Source organism: Homo sapiens, chromosome 5 (genome assembly GCF_000001405.40).
Source record: "Homo sapiens chromosome 5, GRCh38.p14 Primary Assembly".
NCBI lineage: Eukaryota > Metazoa > Chordata > Mammalia > Primates > Hominidae > Homo > Homo sapiens.
Window position 1 is genome coordinate 36,728,057 of NC_000005.10, and position 17,356 is coordinate 36,745,412.

The window sequence follows — 17,356 nt, forward strand, 5'->3', positions numbered from 1 at the left end:
TGCAAATCTCACTGCCGTAAGTACAGGCCACCAGTGCCAACGTAGGGGGAAAGCAGAGCTTTGTTTCCCATGGCTTTGTAGAGTGATATTGCCACACGTCAGTGAAGAATCCTTATTCACACAAACACATTAGCCCCACTGCGACTCTCACTTGAGGGAACGTAACACAGCCCATCTCATCGTTTCTGTTTGAGATTCAAGCTGAACGTGAACGTGACCCAGCATTTGCAGTCGTCCACAGCAAGAAGTCAAGGTCTTTAACCGTGAGGTCAGAGACTCGAGGTTGAATCCCAGTTCTGCCACGGAGCAGCTGGATGGCAAGTTACCTTAAATTCTCAGAGTCCCCTTCTTGTAGAAAAATGTGGCTAAAATCATACCTCGAAGGATTGTCATGAAGATGAAACAGGCTGGCCCATAGCACCTACTCAGATAAGCCCTTTTGGAAGAACATCATTCAGAATAATCTGTGGGCTGCAGAATTAGATGGCACATTTGAGAAACTGAGGGAAAATATGGAAATGTCAATGATAATCTCCTCAGAAACATATGATTTACTTTCAACTCCACTCTTAGACTCCTGAACATCCAAGGGAAAGTGGGATATTCAGCCCTCAACCAAAGACTTTGCAAGAATGTCTCCATACAATTCCAAGCAAACCCCAATTTAGACGTCCTTTCTTTTGCTGAGCATATTTTATGGAGAAAAAGACACAAATAAATTAAAAGTTTATTCAGATACACCATTCTCTAAAATGACCCTTTGGAAAAGATAGCAAGGAAAAATCTTTAGGTAATATTTCTTTCCTTGACATTAATTCACATAACATAAAATACTTGATTTCAAAATATTCCCCACCCAAAACGATTAAAGGCACCTTTAGCCAATGTTTGTTTAAAAGTCACCTATTTCTTACAGTTTTAGACCTTTATAAAGATATTTTATGTGGAAAAAAGGATTCCAACATTTACTGGTTAATATTTTGGCAAGAAATGTCAGAAAGATCTTGAGTAAATTCAGGTTTTTTTCCTCTTCAGTTCTTCTTAACACTCTGAAAGACATGAATGATTTCTAGGATTTACCACCAGAGGGCACTAATGCAAAACTGAGTCACAGAGTCGCATACAGTGTATTTGGCCTCGCTGTCACCGAAATGCTTCTTTTTAAATAAAATGCTCCCCTTTTATTTAAGCAAAACTTTGAATACAAATGCCTCACATTAGCACTGACTGAAAGCAAAATGTCTGACCACATGCAATCATTAATATAAAAGCATATTATTCGGGAATACTATACATAAGTTGTTTTCTTTTTAAAAGTAGCAGTTTATAAAATTAAAAATAGGGTGAACTGAGAACATCTTCAGAATAACCATGCCCTCATCTCTTGGACTTGTTTCTCTGAGTTCTCTAGTTCTCACTGTCTGTACCACTCCTTTGGGTTTTGCATTTAATAAGCTCCAATGAGGCTGTACTGCAAAGAACAGAGTAGCTAGACCAGATTTGGATTTGAATCCCAGCTTTTCCACATAATAGTTTTGTGACCTGGAGAAGGTCTCTGTGCCTCAGTTTCCCCACCTGTACAATGGAAGCAGTTAGAGCTGGCAGAGCTGTGGTAAGGTGTAAGAGATTATGGTTACAAAGTCCCTAGAACATTCTGGGTGCCTAATTCAATGCTGACATTTCGTGGGATTATATGTGGGATTCCTGTACATGAAGATGCTAAGAAAGAAGTACTATTATTATTCCTGCATGACAGACACGGAAACTGAGGTTAAGTAATATCCCAATGGTCACAGAACTAGTAGTGAGCAGGGAGAGTTACAAAGCTCATGTTACTTTGACTTTCCACACTGCTTGCCCTCGAAGGGTAGATGATGGGTGGGCGGACATTGTATGTTAAGCTTCTTTGCACCTGCAGGGATGACACACATGATAGGTTTTCAATGAATGCACGGTGAAGATGATGAATATGCATATGTGTCAGATTCTGAAAAAAAAAAAAAAAAAAAAAAAAAGGGAGGGAGTAGATACAATTGCTCTGAAAGATCAAAAGAGCTTTACCAAAGCACAGTATTGTTATCATCATTATTATTATCATTATCACAATGATTAAATGCATCACCAGTTTGGCAGATTGCAGGATAATGATATGCAGAGAGTGTCATTTAGCCTAAAAGGTGATACCTTCCCAGGAAAGGGAAAGAAAGGGGAGCTGAGATGAGGCCCAGGGAGCTCAGAATTTCTGAGGCAAGAGAGGAGCTGGGCCTGTGCAGGGAGAAGGACCAAAGGGGGCACTGGGCACCTCGCAGGTGAACTGGTCGAGGGTCCAACAGGTAGCCACACCTGGATGAAGAAGGGCATGCAGTAATAGGGCACCAGAAGCATATTCTGCTAACAGTGTGGCATATCTATAGGGGAATATCTTTCCCCAGCCAGCCCCAAAGAACAGTCTGAACTTGACGTGGCTTCAGTCCTGGAGCCAGCAGGGAGATGTAATCATTGTTGGTTTCCTGGCCTCTGCATCCATCCCTGTTCCTGTCCCCATCATAGTTCCTTGCTATCAGGGACTGTGTCTAGCCTGTCTTAGTATCCCCAATGCCAAGCCTAATAGCTTGCTCAGTAACTCTCTACAGCCTGAAAAATGAAGGGCCCCACGCTCTCCACCACCACCCCAGAAGGAGGCCTTACCAGCATCTGTCCTAAAGCATCAATGTCAAGTGCTTTCGGCTCCAGCACCCTCAGAGCTCTGAGACCAGTGTTTTCTGGCTACACAGGCAGTAAGAAGCACAGGCCTGCTGCTGCTTACAGCAGGCCAGACAGAAGCTAATTACAGCAACCTGAACTTACCATGACTAACATGCTTATTTAATTCAAGTGTTTGTTTGTTGACCTCCAGAAATCAAATATAGAGGCCTCACGGGCCAGGCCACCACTGGCGCCCTGGGAGCGAGGTCTGTGTGCAGAGCAATTACACAGGCCTGCAACCAGGCAGGGGTTGGGTTGCATGGTGATACCTGGAACATTATCCACTCTGGAAAGATGTCAGTTCTGTGGGGAATGTGGTTCAACCTGGGCAGAAAATGAAAGGCATGAAGCTGTCCATGAAGCCTCTTAGCCAGTGACGGCTCTCCTGCAGGAAGACTAATTTGTGGAAATAATAACAGCCCCCTTCACCAAATACCTACTATGTATCAGGTCCTTTATGTACATGATTACATTTATTTATCCCATCTTTGTGAGACAGATATAATTATTGCAATTTTACAGGTAAAAAAAAATTGAGTTTCTTAAGCAAGGACCAGGTTAAATAACTTTCCCAAGGTCAGACTGTAATGGTAGTAACAGTAACAAATATTTTCAGGGTGTTTGCAATAATTCTGAGCTGAGAACTTCATATAATACCATTTAGTACTCATAGGAATCCTATGAGGTAAGGATTATTATTAACTCCATTTTCCAGATGAGGAAACTGAGGCTTGGGGGGGTGGTTGAGTAACTTGTCCAAGGTCACAAACAGCTATGATATGGCAGAGCCAAGGTTCCTATGATGATAATAATAGCTAACATTTAAGGCAGGTACAATGCGCCATGGCTTTTGTCATTTCAGTCTTCACAACAACCTTGTGAGGTGGGAATCGGTATCCTTATTTTACAGATGAGGAAACTGAGGCTTAGGAAGATTAAGTAATTTTTCTAGGGATTAAAGATTTTGACACAGTCTTACCCTAGCACTCTAGCCTGAAATCACTATACTATGGGGCTCCCTGGGCTGGAATTTCATTAGAGCATAAGGAGTGAAACTAAGATTCAAACCCAGTCTGTGTGGCTTCAAAGCCTGTAATCCTTCTGGCTCAACATTATACAATTCTCCAAATGAAGCTTTTGTCTGAAGGGCAGCAATTGTTCTTTAAGTCCAAGCATATCGGCACAGGTTGCTCTGACCTATGGGCAGTTAAAACAAGCTTTCGAAAGACTGAAGGCACATGGAGGTAGAAGGAGACTGGAATAAGAAGGGAAGGATGAGGCTAGAAGTTAAAGCAGGTCACTCAAATCAGCAACCAAGCACCCCCATCCTGAACAGAGGCAGCGAGATTCCATCCAAGCATGGGCACTTGGAGCAGACTTCAGTTACTGATAATAACGATGTTAATGACTACTAATATTTACTGAGCATTAACTAGGTACCAGACACTGTTCTAAGTCTCTACATGCCTTTCTTATCTATTGTATCTCTATTTTACATACAAGCCAACTGAGGCTCAGGGGCCTGGAAGACCTGCCCAAAGGTGACTCCAGCAGGAAAGGCACAAAGCCAGCACCCAGATCTGAATCTCACTCTAGAGCACCCAGGCTGGGTTCTTTCTGCCACTTATGTCACCATGACCCCATGGTCATGAGCTAATATAATGCCTCAGTTAATTAGACTTCTTCATCTACAAAAGGAGTTCATAAGTTTCTCTTCTTTTAATAGGGAGGGAATGTATGAAGGCAGTTCTTTAAAAATATATATATATATCCCACAGGTATTAAAGTTTTCCAAGCTGTCACTAAATAAATGATACTCCTGTTACAGGAAAGAGGCAGGACCTTTAAAGAAGACAGCCACAGCTTCAACACAGCATCAAAAAAGATACATTTCCATTGTTTGTTTATTTTTAAAACAGAGTCTCACACTGTCACTGGCTGGAGTGCAGTGGCTCGATCTCAGCTCACTGCAACCTCCACCTCCTGGATTCAAGTGATTCTCCTGCCTCAGCTTCCCGAGTAGCTGGGATTACAGGTGCACACCACCATGTCTGGCTAATTTTTTTGTATTTTTAGTAGAGACGGGGTTTTGCCATTTTGGCCATGCTGATCTCAAACTCCTGACCTCAGGTGATCCTCCCACCTCGGCCTCCCAAAGTGCTGGGATTACAGGCATGAGCCACTGCACCAGGCCTCTCCATTGTTTATTGTAATCAATTAAACCCAAAAAACATGAAATGGAATTGTATCACTTTTCATGAAAATATACTAGTTACACACCACACACACACACACACACACACACACACACACACACACCCCTTCACTACCCTATAATTAATGGAGATTTCTCCCTGCAAGGAAGTGGTCAGATCTGTGTGAACCGGGTAGTGTGAAGTTAAGTTCCAAGGTATGTATAATGTGTTGTAATTCCTCTACTCTCCATACGCTGTTTTTGTCCCCAAAGAATCAGGGAGTTCCTGGGGAAATCTCTAAAAGACTCAACAGGACTGGGAACAAATCTCACTGCTTTGTTGAGTACTTCCAACATAGTCATTAGTCATGAGTCAAGGACCCAGCAGGTAGCCACACCTGGATGAACAAGGCAGGCAGTGACAGGGCACCAGAAGCATACTCTGCTAACAACGTAACTTCTTCTATATAGAGCACAATTTAAAAGTTGTTTCAGGCTGGGCGCGGTGGTTCATGCCTGTAATCCCAGTGCTTTGGGAAGCCAAGATGGGAGGGTGGCTTGAGGCCAGGAGTTCAAGACCAGCCTGGGCAACATACTGAGACCTCATCTCTACAAAAACCATTTTTAAATTAGCCTGGTGTGGTGGCACATGCATGTAGTCCCAGCTATTTGGAAGGCTGGGTTGGGAGGATCACTTGAGCCCAGGAGTTGGAGGCTGTAGTGAGTCGTGTTCATGCCACTGCACTCCAGCCTGGGCAAGACAACGAGACTCTGTCTCAAAAAAAAAAGGGCTCTTTCTCCTCAGCAGTCTCTCCCCCAATAGAAAGAACCAAAAGGTTTGTGTTAATTTAATACCTTCACTTGAACTCAGGAAACACATTTTAATTCATATTTGCCTGCCTCAGAGTCACAATGTCAAGAAAAGAAAATGCTAGCAAATATTACTTCCAAATTAATTATTTCTGAATGTTTTCTTATATCACTAGAATCTCATTATGATTATAACAAATGTAAGCTAAGGTCCACATATTAATATTTAACTGTTCTGTGCAATGGGTTTATTACTCCAAATACTGCTAAATCCCCAAAGATTGCTATTTAGTTAAATGCAGAGAAGTCTTCATAGAAAGATTTCTAATTCATCATTTCTAGGCCAAGAGTCTCTGAGGTCTCATTTCCATTTAGAAAATGCTACTGCCACGAAAAGAAGAATTGATGAAATCAAATGGCTATCTTCCCTAAGACAGACTTGCTGGTACTTGAACCCTGGATTTAGGGCATAGATCAAAAGAGCACCCTATCTACCGGGAAGCCCCCCTTCCTCCACCACCTTGAGCACACACCCACCAGCAGCATCCTTTAATTTTTCAATTCTATATAGAGATATTGCTGGGCTATTGGAACTGCAGTACTTAGAATTCTTACAAACACATTTCTTCATCCCATCTACCACCTTGGCAGAAGTTCTTGGAAAACTGATGATGTAAATTGGTGCTAAGACCTTGTGAGCACATTAAGGCTTGTCATGGAAAAATGGGTGCAGCGTTATTAAGTCCGAGAGATAGTTCCAGCTTCTGGTCCTCATGTCAGGTTTCCACATCTAACGAGCTAACAGGAGTGACTAACCTCTGGGGTGCAGTGTTGGACAACTTAAAACAGAACATTAGCCCTGGTCCCCATCTCGCCCATACCCATTCTGCTCCTGACATAGTTTACCTTAGTTCAAAGGACTAAAAGACTTTGCCTTTAAAAAGGCATCTTTGATAGAGCAAAATTTGTTTATTGAGCATTCTATCAATCAGATAACTTTATGGTAACTGGCCTGTCTACAAATGCGTAATGATTATTATTATTTACAATTATCATTTTTTAGCTCCTCTGATCCTGATCCTCAGTGACCAGGTCCTGTGGCTTCTGTTTCCAAAGTCCCTCTGGCTGTACAACCCCTGTTTTTCACAGCCTGTCCTTAGATGAGGACTTCATCCTCTCTTGCCAGGTCTACCATCATCGTCTCCTAACTGATGTTCTCGCCAGCCCATTTCATACATTACACCATGCCTTATCATCTGCCTGAAAGCACAGGTCCGGTTTTTGTCATTCCTCTGCTTAGAAGCCTTCAGTAGCTCCTACAGCCCTTCATACTCCTTGATCTGCCATTGACTCCTGTCCACCAAATGGTACCCAACCTCCGCCTTTGCAAACTCATCCTCCAGTGTCTCCTTCACATGTCTCCCTGTGACTTCCTATCTTTCCCCCTTGAGTCCAGAGATGTCAAATCACCCTCCTGTTTCCATCTCTGCCTGTGAGTATTCTACCCTCATCTTTTCAAATGCTACCTTCTTCATGAAGGTTTTCCTCACCTCACTTCACCCATTCCTCTCACCAAACACACACACAAAGATGACCTGGTCCTCTCTGAACCCCCTTTGCACTCTGCACATTTCTAAAGATGTCATCCTCTAGCCAGTATTAGAGCTGGTAGTGAACTTGCCCTAACCACAAGCACCTTACAGGGTCACATTCAAATTCGCTTTCCTCCAATGTTTAGGACAATGCTCTAAGCACATACCAAATAATCAGGAAACATTAGTGTGTGCATTCATTCAAACAATATACCTTCATTTTGCTTTCAAAAAATTGGAAAGATTTTTAATTTTTACATTTGCAAAGAAAAGAATTTTAAGAGATAGCACTGTGCTAAAAGGTTTAATAGTATATGATATCATTCAAAATAAAATATTTAATCAATGGATCCACCTTGCCCGTAAGTGAGCCAATCCTGCAGATTTGACAATTCAAACATGTGACCTTGTGAATGCTGCTAGTAAATATAGCTCAGCGGTCTGAAGCCAGCCTTACATGTGGTCTCCATCTCCAATCCTTTGTCCCTTTTCTCCATGGAGCTTCTTTATAAGCTTTTTTTTTTTTTTTAACTCAAGTTGGTGCTGAATTTTTGGCACTTACAGATCTATCACTCCAAAAAGGAAGCTCAAAAAGTAATAAGCAGGCCCAGATTTATGTTCAGTGCCCAAAAAATATGCAATTTCTCCACTTTAATCTGATCCAGCCAAATGGCCAGTCCAATGTGCAACATATGTCCAGCCAACTGGTTGGAGTCCATGCATTTAGTTCCTTCTGTAGATTAATGAGATTATGGCATTGTTAAAAAGAGACAGAAAATGCTAATTTGACATCTACCATGATATACTTTACAGTTTGGGGGGTTTCTGCATTTTAAGACATTTTTAATTACTTTGTTATGCTGTGCCAATGAGGACCATATGCCCATTCTTGTCCCTCCACGCTGTCTCCATAGTCACCTGCACATTCCCAGGCAGCGCAGACTGTCCAGACCTTGCTATCACAGCCTCTGTCTAGGAGAATCAAAAAGCAGCCTTCTCCTTACACTGGTGCATGCACCTTCTGGTTAAAGCTGTTTCAGAAGAAAATAAAAGTCACCTACATGTTCAGAGCTATAGAATGAACTGACCATGAAAAGAAAACTTACTTCAAAACAATAGGCGTTCACTTGGTTGCAGAAGAAAGCCAGCCACATAGCAGTAGAAGCACTCACCAAAGGTACACTAACCTGTGACTTGGCAAAAATTGGAACTTTTGCTCATGTGATATACATTATCTGCATTTAAAAAAATAATTTATGAGGCGGCTGTGGGCTACTACGCTGCCCCAAAAGGTTGTTGGAGATGATTGATATAACACATGCTAACATACAGGATATTATTCTGTCCTTTGCAAATATTTCTGAACACCCCCAAAAACTTGAACAAAGCAGAATTGGATCTTCCTCCGTTGATCCTCAGGGGAGCCCTCTCCACCATACTCATCTCCTTGTATGGAGATGGACTTCACATGGACGGAGTGCTGAGGCTGAAGGGCAGCACCGCTGCTCACTTCAAAACATTTTCTAAAAGTCCACTTGGACTGACAGCTAGAATTCAAAAAATAAAAATTAAAAATTACCCATGCTAAATCATGAATACTAGCAGTAGCCTGCCACTTATGAAGCACCTACTAAGTGCCAGCCGTCATTCTACAGGCATTACCTCTATCAACTCATTTAATCCTTATACTTATCCTATGATTATTAAATAGATACTGTTATCATCTCTTTCTCACAATTAAGGAGACAGAGGCACAGAAATGTTAAGTAATATGCCCAGTGTCACCCAGCTAGAAAGTGCTACAGTCAGCATATGAACTCCAGAAGTCTGGGAGAGACTGCACCCTTAGCCACTATATTATATGAAAAGAAAAATATGAACAAAGACAACCATCCTACTGAAAATAGAAAGATGGAACGAACAAGCTTATTTTTCCAAATTCTCTTGAGCAATTATTGAAAATGTTTTGTTTACTATGAAAGAGTTTTAACATTTTGGGGTTCCAAACTATGAAATAACGGCATATAGATTGAGTTAAACATTGGCACGATGGCAGCCCTGCGCTGAGGAGGTATACGGGAAAACAATGCAAAACAAAACACAAGCATATGCACCTCGAATCCACCCGGCAAGAACACAAATGGCAGGGAAGAGAACGCGAGCCTCTTCTCTTCCCTACCCAACACCTGTTCCTCTTACCAGATGGGAACCTGCTTCCTGTTCCCGGAAGGCGATAGAAGGCCCCCAGATCCAGGTGGAGCCAGCAGCTCCCCCACCACTTGGAGGCAGCCAGGCAGTTTCTTGGCACAGATCTACAGTGAACAGAAATGTCAGTCCCAGGTAAAGGGTGCGGGAGTGGCCGGGAGGCAGGAGTGCTGTCACAAACTGCTCTTTGGCATCAGCATCTCCCACCCAGGAAGAAGAGGCTGCGGACACGCTCTCTTCTAGTGCTGCTGGAGGCCCAGGGCAATAGAAAACAGTAAGTCCAGGAGGAATTGGCAGAAAAAGTGAGTAGGCCAGTAAGCCTCCACCTCTCCTTCTCCACATCTTAGGATGGTTCCTGGTAGCATAGGCCAGTGGCCATGGGATGAGCTTTAGTGTTAGACTGAACCTCGGATCAAATGCCAGGTGTGCCACTTTCTGGCTATGAGACCTTGCAAAAGTCATTTAACCTCCTTCTACTTTGTTCACCACTACCTTCATCCTCTTCCTGGTTGCCTTGAGATCAAGTCTACGCTTTTTATTTTATTTTATTTTATCTTATTTATTTTTTTGAGACAGGGTCTCACTCTGTCACCCAGGCTGGAGTACAGTCACACAAACACAGCTCACTGCAGCCTCAATCCCCTGGGTTCAAGCCATCCTGCCAACTTCATCCTCCCAAGTAGCTGGGACCACAGGCATGTGCCACCGCACCCAGCTAATTTTTTCTTTCTTTCTTTCTTTTTTTTTTTTTTTGGAGAGATGGCGTTTCACCATGTTGTCCAGGCTAGTCTCAAACTCCTGGGCTCAAGTGATCCTTGTGCCTCAGCCTCCCAAAGTGCTGTGATTACAGGCATGAGTCACTGCACCCAGTCTAAACATCCTCTGAACTAAGCTTTTTATAATCCATAGGTTCAGGCACCTGCTTACCTCTTCAGCCTCATTTCTCGTCCCATATCTATATTCCAGGGACCATTCTAGTTCTCACCTCTGGACCTTGCTCATTCTGTTCCTTCTGCCTGGAACACTTCCTGCCCCTTTTTTTTTTTTTTTAAACTGATCCAACCTACTCACCTTTCAGGTCTCAGTGAATGTCACTTCCTCCAAGGAGCCTCCCTGCCTGTCTCCTCTGTGCTCTTATAGCACCAAATACTTACTCTTAGGGAACATTTATAACCCTACATTGTAAAGCTACATTGCAATGTAGCTGTGATGTGCACTTATAAACAAGCGCATTGTAATAGCCTGTCTGCTGCTCAGTGTATCACTATACTGTGTGCTCCTAATGGGAAGAGGACAACTTTTAACAGCACCCTATTAAACTATCGCTCTTACCTCTTTTATGTTTCTCTTTCCTGCTAGATTGTAAGCTCCACGTGGCCAAAGACTACATGTGTCTTGCCACTTTTGTATCCCCAGAGCCTAGCATATAGGCTGGGCTAGCATATAGCACAAACTTAATGAATATGGTTGACTAAAAGAATAAATAAACCTCTCTACACCTCAGTTTCCCCATCTGTAAAATGGTGTAAAACAATATTCATCTCGAGAAGTACGTATGTGAGAATTAAATGAGCATGTACAAAGCCCCTGAGACGTAGCAGAAGTCAATAAATGGCAGCTCTACCGTCCGTTCATCCATTCAGCCTACATGCATGGTTCCAATCACCCTTTAAGTCCTAGGGAAAATTTGCATTTAGCATTTTGTCCACATCCCATCTCAGAAATATAACTCTTGCCCTAAAAATCTCTAGAGAAGATGCCACACTTCTCCCTCTGGTGACTACCTGTGTTTCCGAGTCCTTTGTTAGTCAATCAGCCAATAATTATGTCAAAATCATCGACGTATGATAGATATTCAACTACAGTATTTACAGAGTTCTTCGATATCCAGAATAAGAAAATCTTGCACAGAACCATCAGAGAGTCATTTCCAAGAGTCGTTTATTCATGAGCCTCTCTCTCTCTCTCTCTGATACACACAATCTCCAGGATACTAGAAAGTTTTCAAGGGACAGTGAGTTATCCCATAGATGAATTCATTCCCCATCCACTGCGGACTCACCTGATGCGAGCTAGATGCTGAGGCAGAAAGACTAAGATAGAGACAAGATAGAGACAAAAATAGAGAACTTCCTTTGGGAGTTCCCAGTCTATTGGAAGGAACAGGCACGTAAAAAAATAATCTGCATAGTAAATGGACTGACAATGGAACGCTGGGTAGTACCGCAGGCTCCCAGAGGAGGGAGCTAGAGAACAACCTAGTCAGATCCTAAAATGGCCCCTACCAGTAGGCTCTAACAAGACTTTTTGCCACATCTTCCACCCCCTTGCTCTCATTCTGTCTCCTGTGAAGATGGAGAACAGTTCATCAGCATCTTCCTGATAATAACTGCCTCAATCCATCATAAAGGCCAGCCCTAAGGAACACAGAAGTCACCAAGTTCACGGACCCTGTCTGAATATCTCACTGTCACAGAAGTCTATAAAAGATAAGACTTGGAATCTGACCGGTTGAGCTAATGGGGGATTTCCAAGCACTAGCTATTCCACCCTTTCATAGATAAGCTCTTTGTGGGTGGTGGTGAGAACACATCATTCTATTTGTTTCTTGTGAGGGCTACTTTGAGCACTGACTTGGTCTTCATGGCACTTTATTTTATGTCCTGAAAAACAGGACCCAACTGAAATTCAGAATCATTACTAAATGCAAAGAGAGAGAGAGAAGCATGAATTATAAGTGCAATAAAATCTCATTTTTTTTTCTGTGTTGCTAATGAGGAGGAACACATTTCTTTCTGTTCTGAGCATGCTTTCAGAGGGAGGCACATGGAGGAATCCACTGCCAGAGACAGTCTTAAGAACAGGTGGCAGAACAGTCCTCGAACAGCTGTGAGCCGGGTGCTCAGAAAGGCATCTTTGACCACCTCCCTGTCGCACAAGCCCTGCTCTGGACACCAGAGTCCCTACCACAGGGAGCCTCCTGAGATACAGAGCACTGTTACTGGGGGAGGATAAACTTATGCTTCCGTCCACAGTATCACATTTCTGATGACGACTAACTACCACCCAGAACAGATCCAGATAATGAGGGGCTGGGAGACAGACCTGGTAAAATGTAAGCAATGGAATAAGCTGGCAGCAGGGAGTGCCCTCAGCTCAAACGGGGTGGTGATCCAAGGGCACAGGTCCCTGGAGAAGTGTGTTAGCTCGCTAGGGCTGCCTAACAAATACCATAGACTGGGCGGTGTAAACAACAGAAACTTACTCTCTCACAATTCTAGAGGCTAGAAGCCTGAGATGGGGTTGGTCTCTTCTGAGGCCCCTCTCCTTGGCTTGCAGGTGGCCAGGTTCTCCCTGTGTCTTCATATGGCCTTTCCTCTGTGTGTGTCTTCGTCCTAATTTCTTCTTCTTATAAGGACACCAGTGATATTGGATTAGGGCTTAATTATTTAACCTTAATTATTAACACCTCTTTAAAGGCCCCATCTCCAAATACAGTCATATTCTGAGATACTGAGAGATAGAATTTCAACTTGGGACACAAGTCAGCCCATAAGAAGGAGTGGGACAGGAAACATGGGATGAAAAAGGAGGGACGCTGCTGGAAAGCCACCAGTGCAGGCACTCACACGAGTTTGACCATATGGAAGGCTTCAGGGCAGAGATGAAGGGTCACAGCTGCCACCTCTCCACTGATGACTTTCAAACCTAATTATTCAACTATGACCGCTCCCTTGTATTCCAGTTCCACGTTTCCAATGGGCTACTGGACACGCGCCACCGGTATGTCCTGCCAACATTTTAAACAAATACAGGAAAATGCAAATAGAACTCATTTCTGATTTCTATTATTGTCATCACTAACCTTCCAGGAATTTTTCATTCCTTCCCTCTCCCTGCAAATCTAAAATATCACCAAGGCCCTTTGCTCTTGCTTTCTTGTGTCTCTTGATCCATCTCCTTTCCCCAGGCTGATGGTTACTACATCTCCTCTGGTCATTATTATCCAGACCACTGAAAATATCTCCTAACAGGCCTCATGCCTCCAGGCTCTTTCACCACCAATTCATCTACATCTACTACTCCTGGAGTAATCTTTCTAAACACTGCTATTAAAACTACCTCTGCTCTAAAACCTTCCATGTCTCCCCATTATTACTGGAAAAACTTTTAACAATACAACCTAGTATTCTAGGCCTCTATCAGTCTGGTCCCTTCTAGTCTGACAGCCTACTCTTCCCCTAAACATTCTGGGGAAAAGTGGAAACGAATGAACAAAACCCCTACACAAACCTTCCATTCCACAAAAGAATAAGTCAATCTTCTTATTTACGGCCTCCTTGTAATATGCCACGTAGATGCTCATGTGCCCAACATTTTCTCCTCTGCCTTTCTAAATTCAACCTGTCTTCTAGTTCCCATCCCATCAATAGTGCCTCCTCCATTCCTGACCTTTCTTGATTGTTAAAAATATCTTTTCCTACTTCTCTCAACAGCACTTACCCATTTAGCACTTCAGTGTGATATTTTTCTTATATTTTTTTCATATCTATTTCTGTGTGTCATCTTACCCCGCAACTACGTGTGTGAGTACGCCTTCCTCCCCAGGCTCCTCAAGGGCAGACACAATGCAAAACCCGTGATACTTAATAATAACCAAAACACTCATTGAATATTGATCACATGCCAGGCACTGTGTTAAGTGTTTTCCAGCATTATTTCATTTAATGCAAACAACAATTCAATAAGGTAGGTACTATTATTATCTCCATTATACAGATGAGGAGATTGTAGGTTGGAAAGGCTAAATAACTCTCCTAAAATGACATAACTAGTAAATGACAGAGCTAGGATTCACACACAGGTCTGCATGACCCAGAAGCCCCTTCTAATAGTACCTTTCACAGAGTAAGTGCCTTTCAGAGAATAAGTGCTGAGCATATGTTTGTGAATTAAGGCTATCCCTGTTACCAGAGCATTTGGGGTGTGTGGCAGGCAGAACAATGGCCCCCAAAGATGTCCACATCCTGATTCTCAGAGCCTGTGAATCTATTACATTACATTGCAAAGGGGGATTTAGGTTGCAGATGGAATTAAGTTTGCTAATCAGAGGACCTTAAAATAGGGAGGTTATACTGCAGTCTCTGGGAGGGCCCAACATAATCATAAGGGTCCTTAAAAGAAGATGAGGGAAGCATAAGAGAGACTCAGGAGTGATGCAATGCCTGCCTCTGCCTTGCTGACTTCAAAGATGGAGGAAGGGCCCATAAGCCGAAGAATCTGGAAGCCTCTGGAAGCTGGAGAAGAAAGGAAATGGATTTGCCCCTGGATCCTGCAGAAAGGGGCACAGTCCTGCAGCCTGACACATTCATTACCACCCAGCGAGACATATTTTTGTCAGATTTCTACCATACTGAAGTGTAAGATGATAAATTTGGTTGTTTTAAGCCACCAGATTTGTGGTCATCTGTTACAGCAGCAATAGGAAGCTAATTCCATGTGCAAAAATTCACAGCTAGCCCTGGATTATCCTGATGAATGGGCATTGCCCTGGTGAAAAATCAGTAGGCAGCTCTCTGTAGAACCCAAAAACCTGCCTTCCACCTCCATGGCAATTCTTCATAGGCAGAAACTGTACCACTCTCACCTGTTTCCTGGGCTGATCCTTTTCTACCCTGTCCCTGTGCTATTCTGAAAATAGCTTTACCAAGAAGGACATGAAACTGTGAGCAAAAGTCACACATTCATGACAAAATTCTCCCAGGAAGATTATCATTCCAATCAAAACATGTATGGTATCCTTTTAAAATATCATTACCCAGAGCTTTCATTCTGAAGCACTTCCCATATATTATTTTAGGTGTCTGTGCCAGCCCATAAGTGTGCATAAATGGCAGTTTCTAGTGCACACCGTGGTTTTTAGATTGCAGTTTTTGAGTTGATTCCAAGAATTTTACTCTTAAGAAGCCCAAATAGCACTGCAGACAAATGTATTTTTTGAAATAGTAGAAAAACTAACAGTTCAGAATTTTTGGACTAAGTAGCTGATAGAGAACAGGTTGGTAACAGGAGACTGGTGTAGACTCATAGACTCATACCCTTCTTGCTGAGCCATCCTCACCCTGTGGCTTGGCCTAATTGATTTTCTAGGATCTTTAACCACGTCTAGGCTGCGGATACACCTTGCATGGTGGCATGACTACATTGATGGAGTTAGAGCTGAGATCCACATTCCTATTTCTCATTTCCTGTCCAGCTGCCTTTGATGGATTTTCCTTAATCACCTGGACCCTCACAGCTCTGCCACTTTCCTTGCTAGTTCGGATTAGTTTGATGTTTATGTGTCTGTAATAATGGAAACAATAAAAACCACCAACCTCCCTGCTATTCTTCAGGTGCTTTACATACACATTATCATTTAACGTGCAGTTTAGTGCTGTGCTTACAGCATGGACTTTGGAACTAGACCACTTTGTTTCCAATCCTGGCCCTACCACTCATCAGCTTGTGTGACCGTGGGCACATTCATTAACATCTCTAGGACTCAGCCCTTCCATCTCCCTCTCCCACAAGCCCTGCTCTGGACACCAGACTCCCCACCACAGGGAGCCTCCTGAGATACAGATCACTGTTACTAGGGGAGGACAACCTTATGCTTCCGTCCACAGTATCACATTTCTGATGACGACTAACTATCACCCAGAACAGATCCAGTGAAATGGCAATTTAAAAAGTACTTCTTTATAAAGTTGCTGCGAGGATCATATGTTTAGAAGGGTCCCGGTAACGTAGCCAATGCCACATAGGTGTATGACCTCTTCCCTATCTTTTGAGGTAGGTGTGAGACTACGGTGCTCAGAAAAGTGGAACGACTTTGGGCAACTTGGGAACAACTTGCCCAAAGTCACACACTTGATCAGAGGCAGAGGTAGGATATGGAACCGGATCAAGTCCAACCGTGGACTTTCCACCCTGCTGCGCCGTCTCAAGTTTGTCCCTGATTGGTTCTGAATCCCTGGCGCCCATTCTCATCCCGCCCATCCGAAGATAAAACAATCTTCCTCCCGCGCCCCGCTGCTTCCCGGGAGCTCCCAGGAACTCTAGAGAAAACAGGAAAACTGAAAAGTGCGCTCTGCCTGCTGTGCCAGGCATGTCCCTCAGGGGGAGCCAACAAGGCTTTATTTCGTCCCGGCAGCTGGCCCCTGGGCACGGCCCCCAGCCCGGCGTCCCAGTTCCAGCCGCGCTGCAGGGGCGCGAGGGTGCCCGGCTCGCAGGTGTCCGCGCGCACCGCAGGGCTGCCCGAGTGCGGCTGGCGGAATCCCTCCCCAGCTGGGGAGGAAGGCAGTTGTTTTCTTCCTGGTGGAACGTTCCACTTGAAACTGTTCCACAAGGGCTGTTCTCGCCTCCGACTCCGGGAGGAACTGTAATTAACACAGCAACAAACGCCCACGACGCTAACTGGCAAAGGGAGTGTAACACGAGCCGCTGCTACAACCGAACTGGGCCAATTGCTTTCCCTTCTTGCCTCCCATTTGGTCTGTTTTGGTTCCGCAGTCATCCAACTGTAGCGTTTCTTAAAACATGTCAGTGGCTGGTGTTTGTGTTTTGGGTTGAACAGTTTCACACACGTCGCTGGAGCCCGTGCTCGACCAGCTGCTGTGCTGGGGATTTGCTTTCTGCGGCTTTGGGAGTGTCAGGTAGCAAAACGAAGAGAGTAGTCGACTAGAACGGTGGCGGGGAGGAGGAGGAGGGATTGTCTGCAGTGGAGTCGGGAGCCTCCTCCGGACCAGGACAGGTAAAACCGGTCTGC

At 43.7% G+C, this 17,356-nt stretch overlaps 1 annotated feature.

The window, feature by feature from the left end:
* Window positions 16,662-16,751: a silencer, noted in NCBI's record as "silent region_15974". NCBI's record gives its function as "represses an Ori minimal core promoter by ATAC-STARR-seq in GM12878 lymphoblastoid cells {active_cell/tissue: GM12878}" and the evidence as "EXISTENCE:reporter gene assay evidence [ECO:0000049][PMID:35858748]".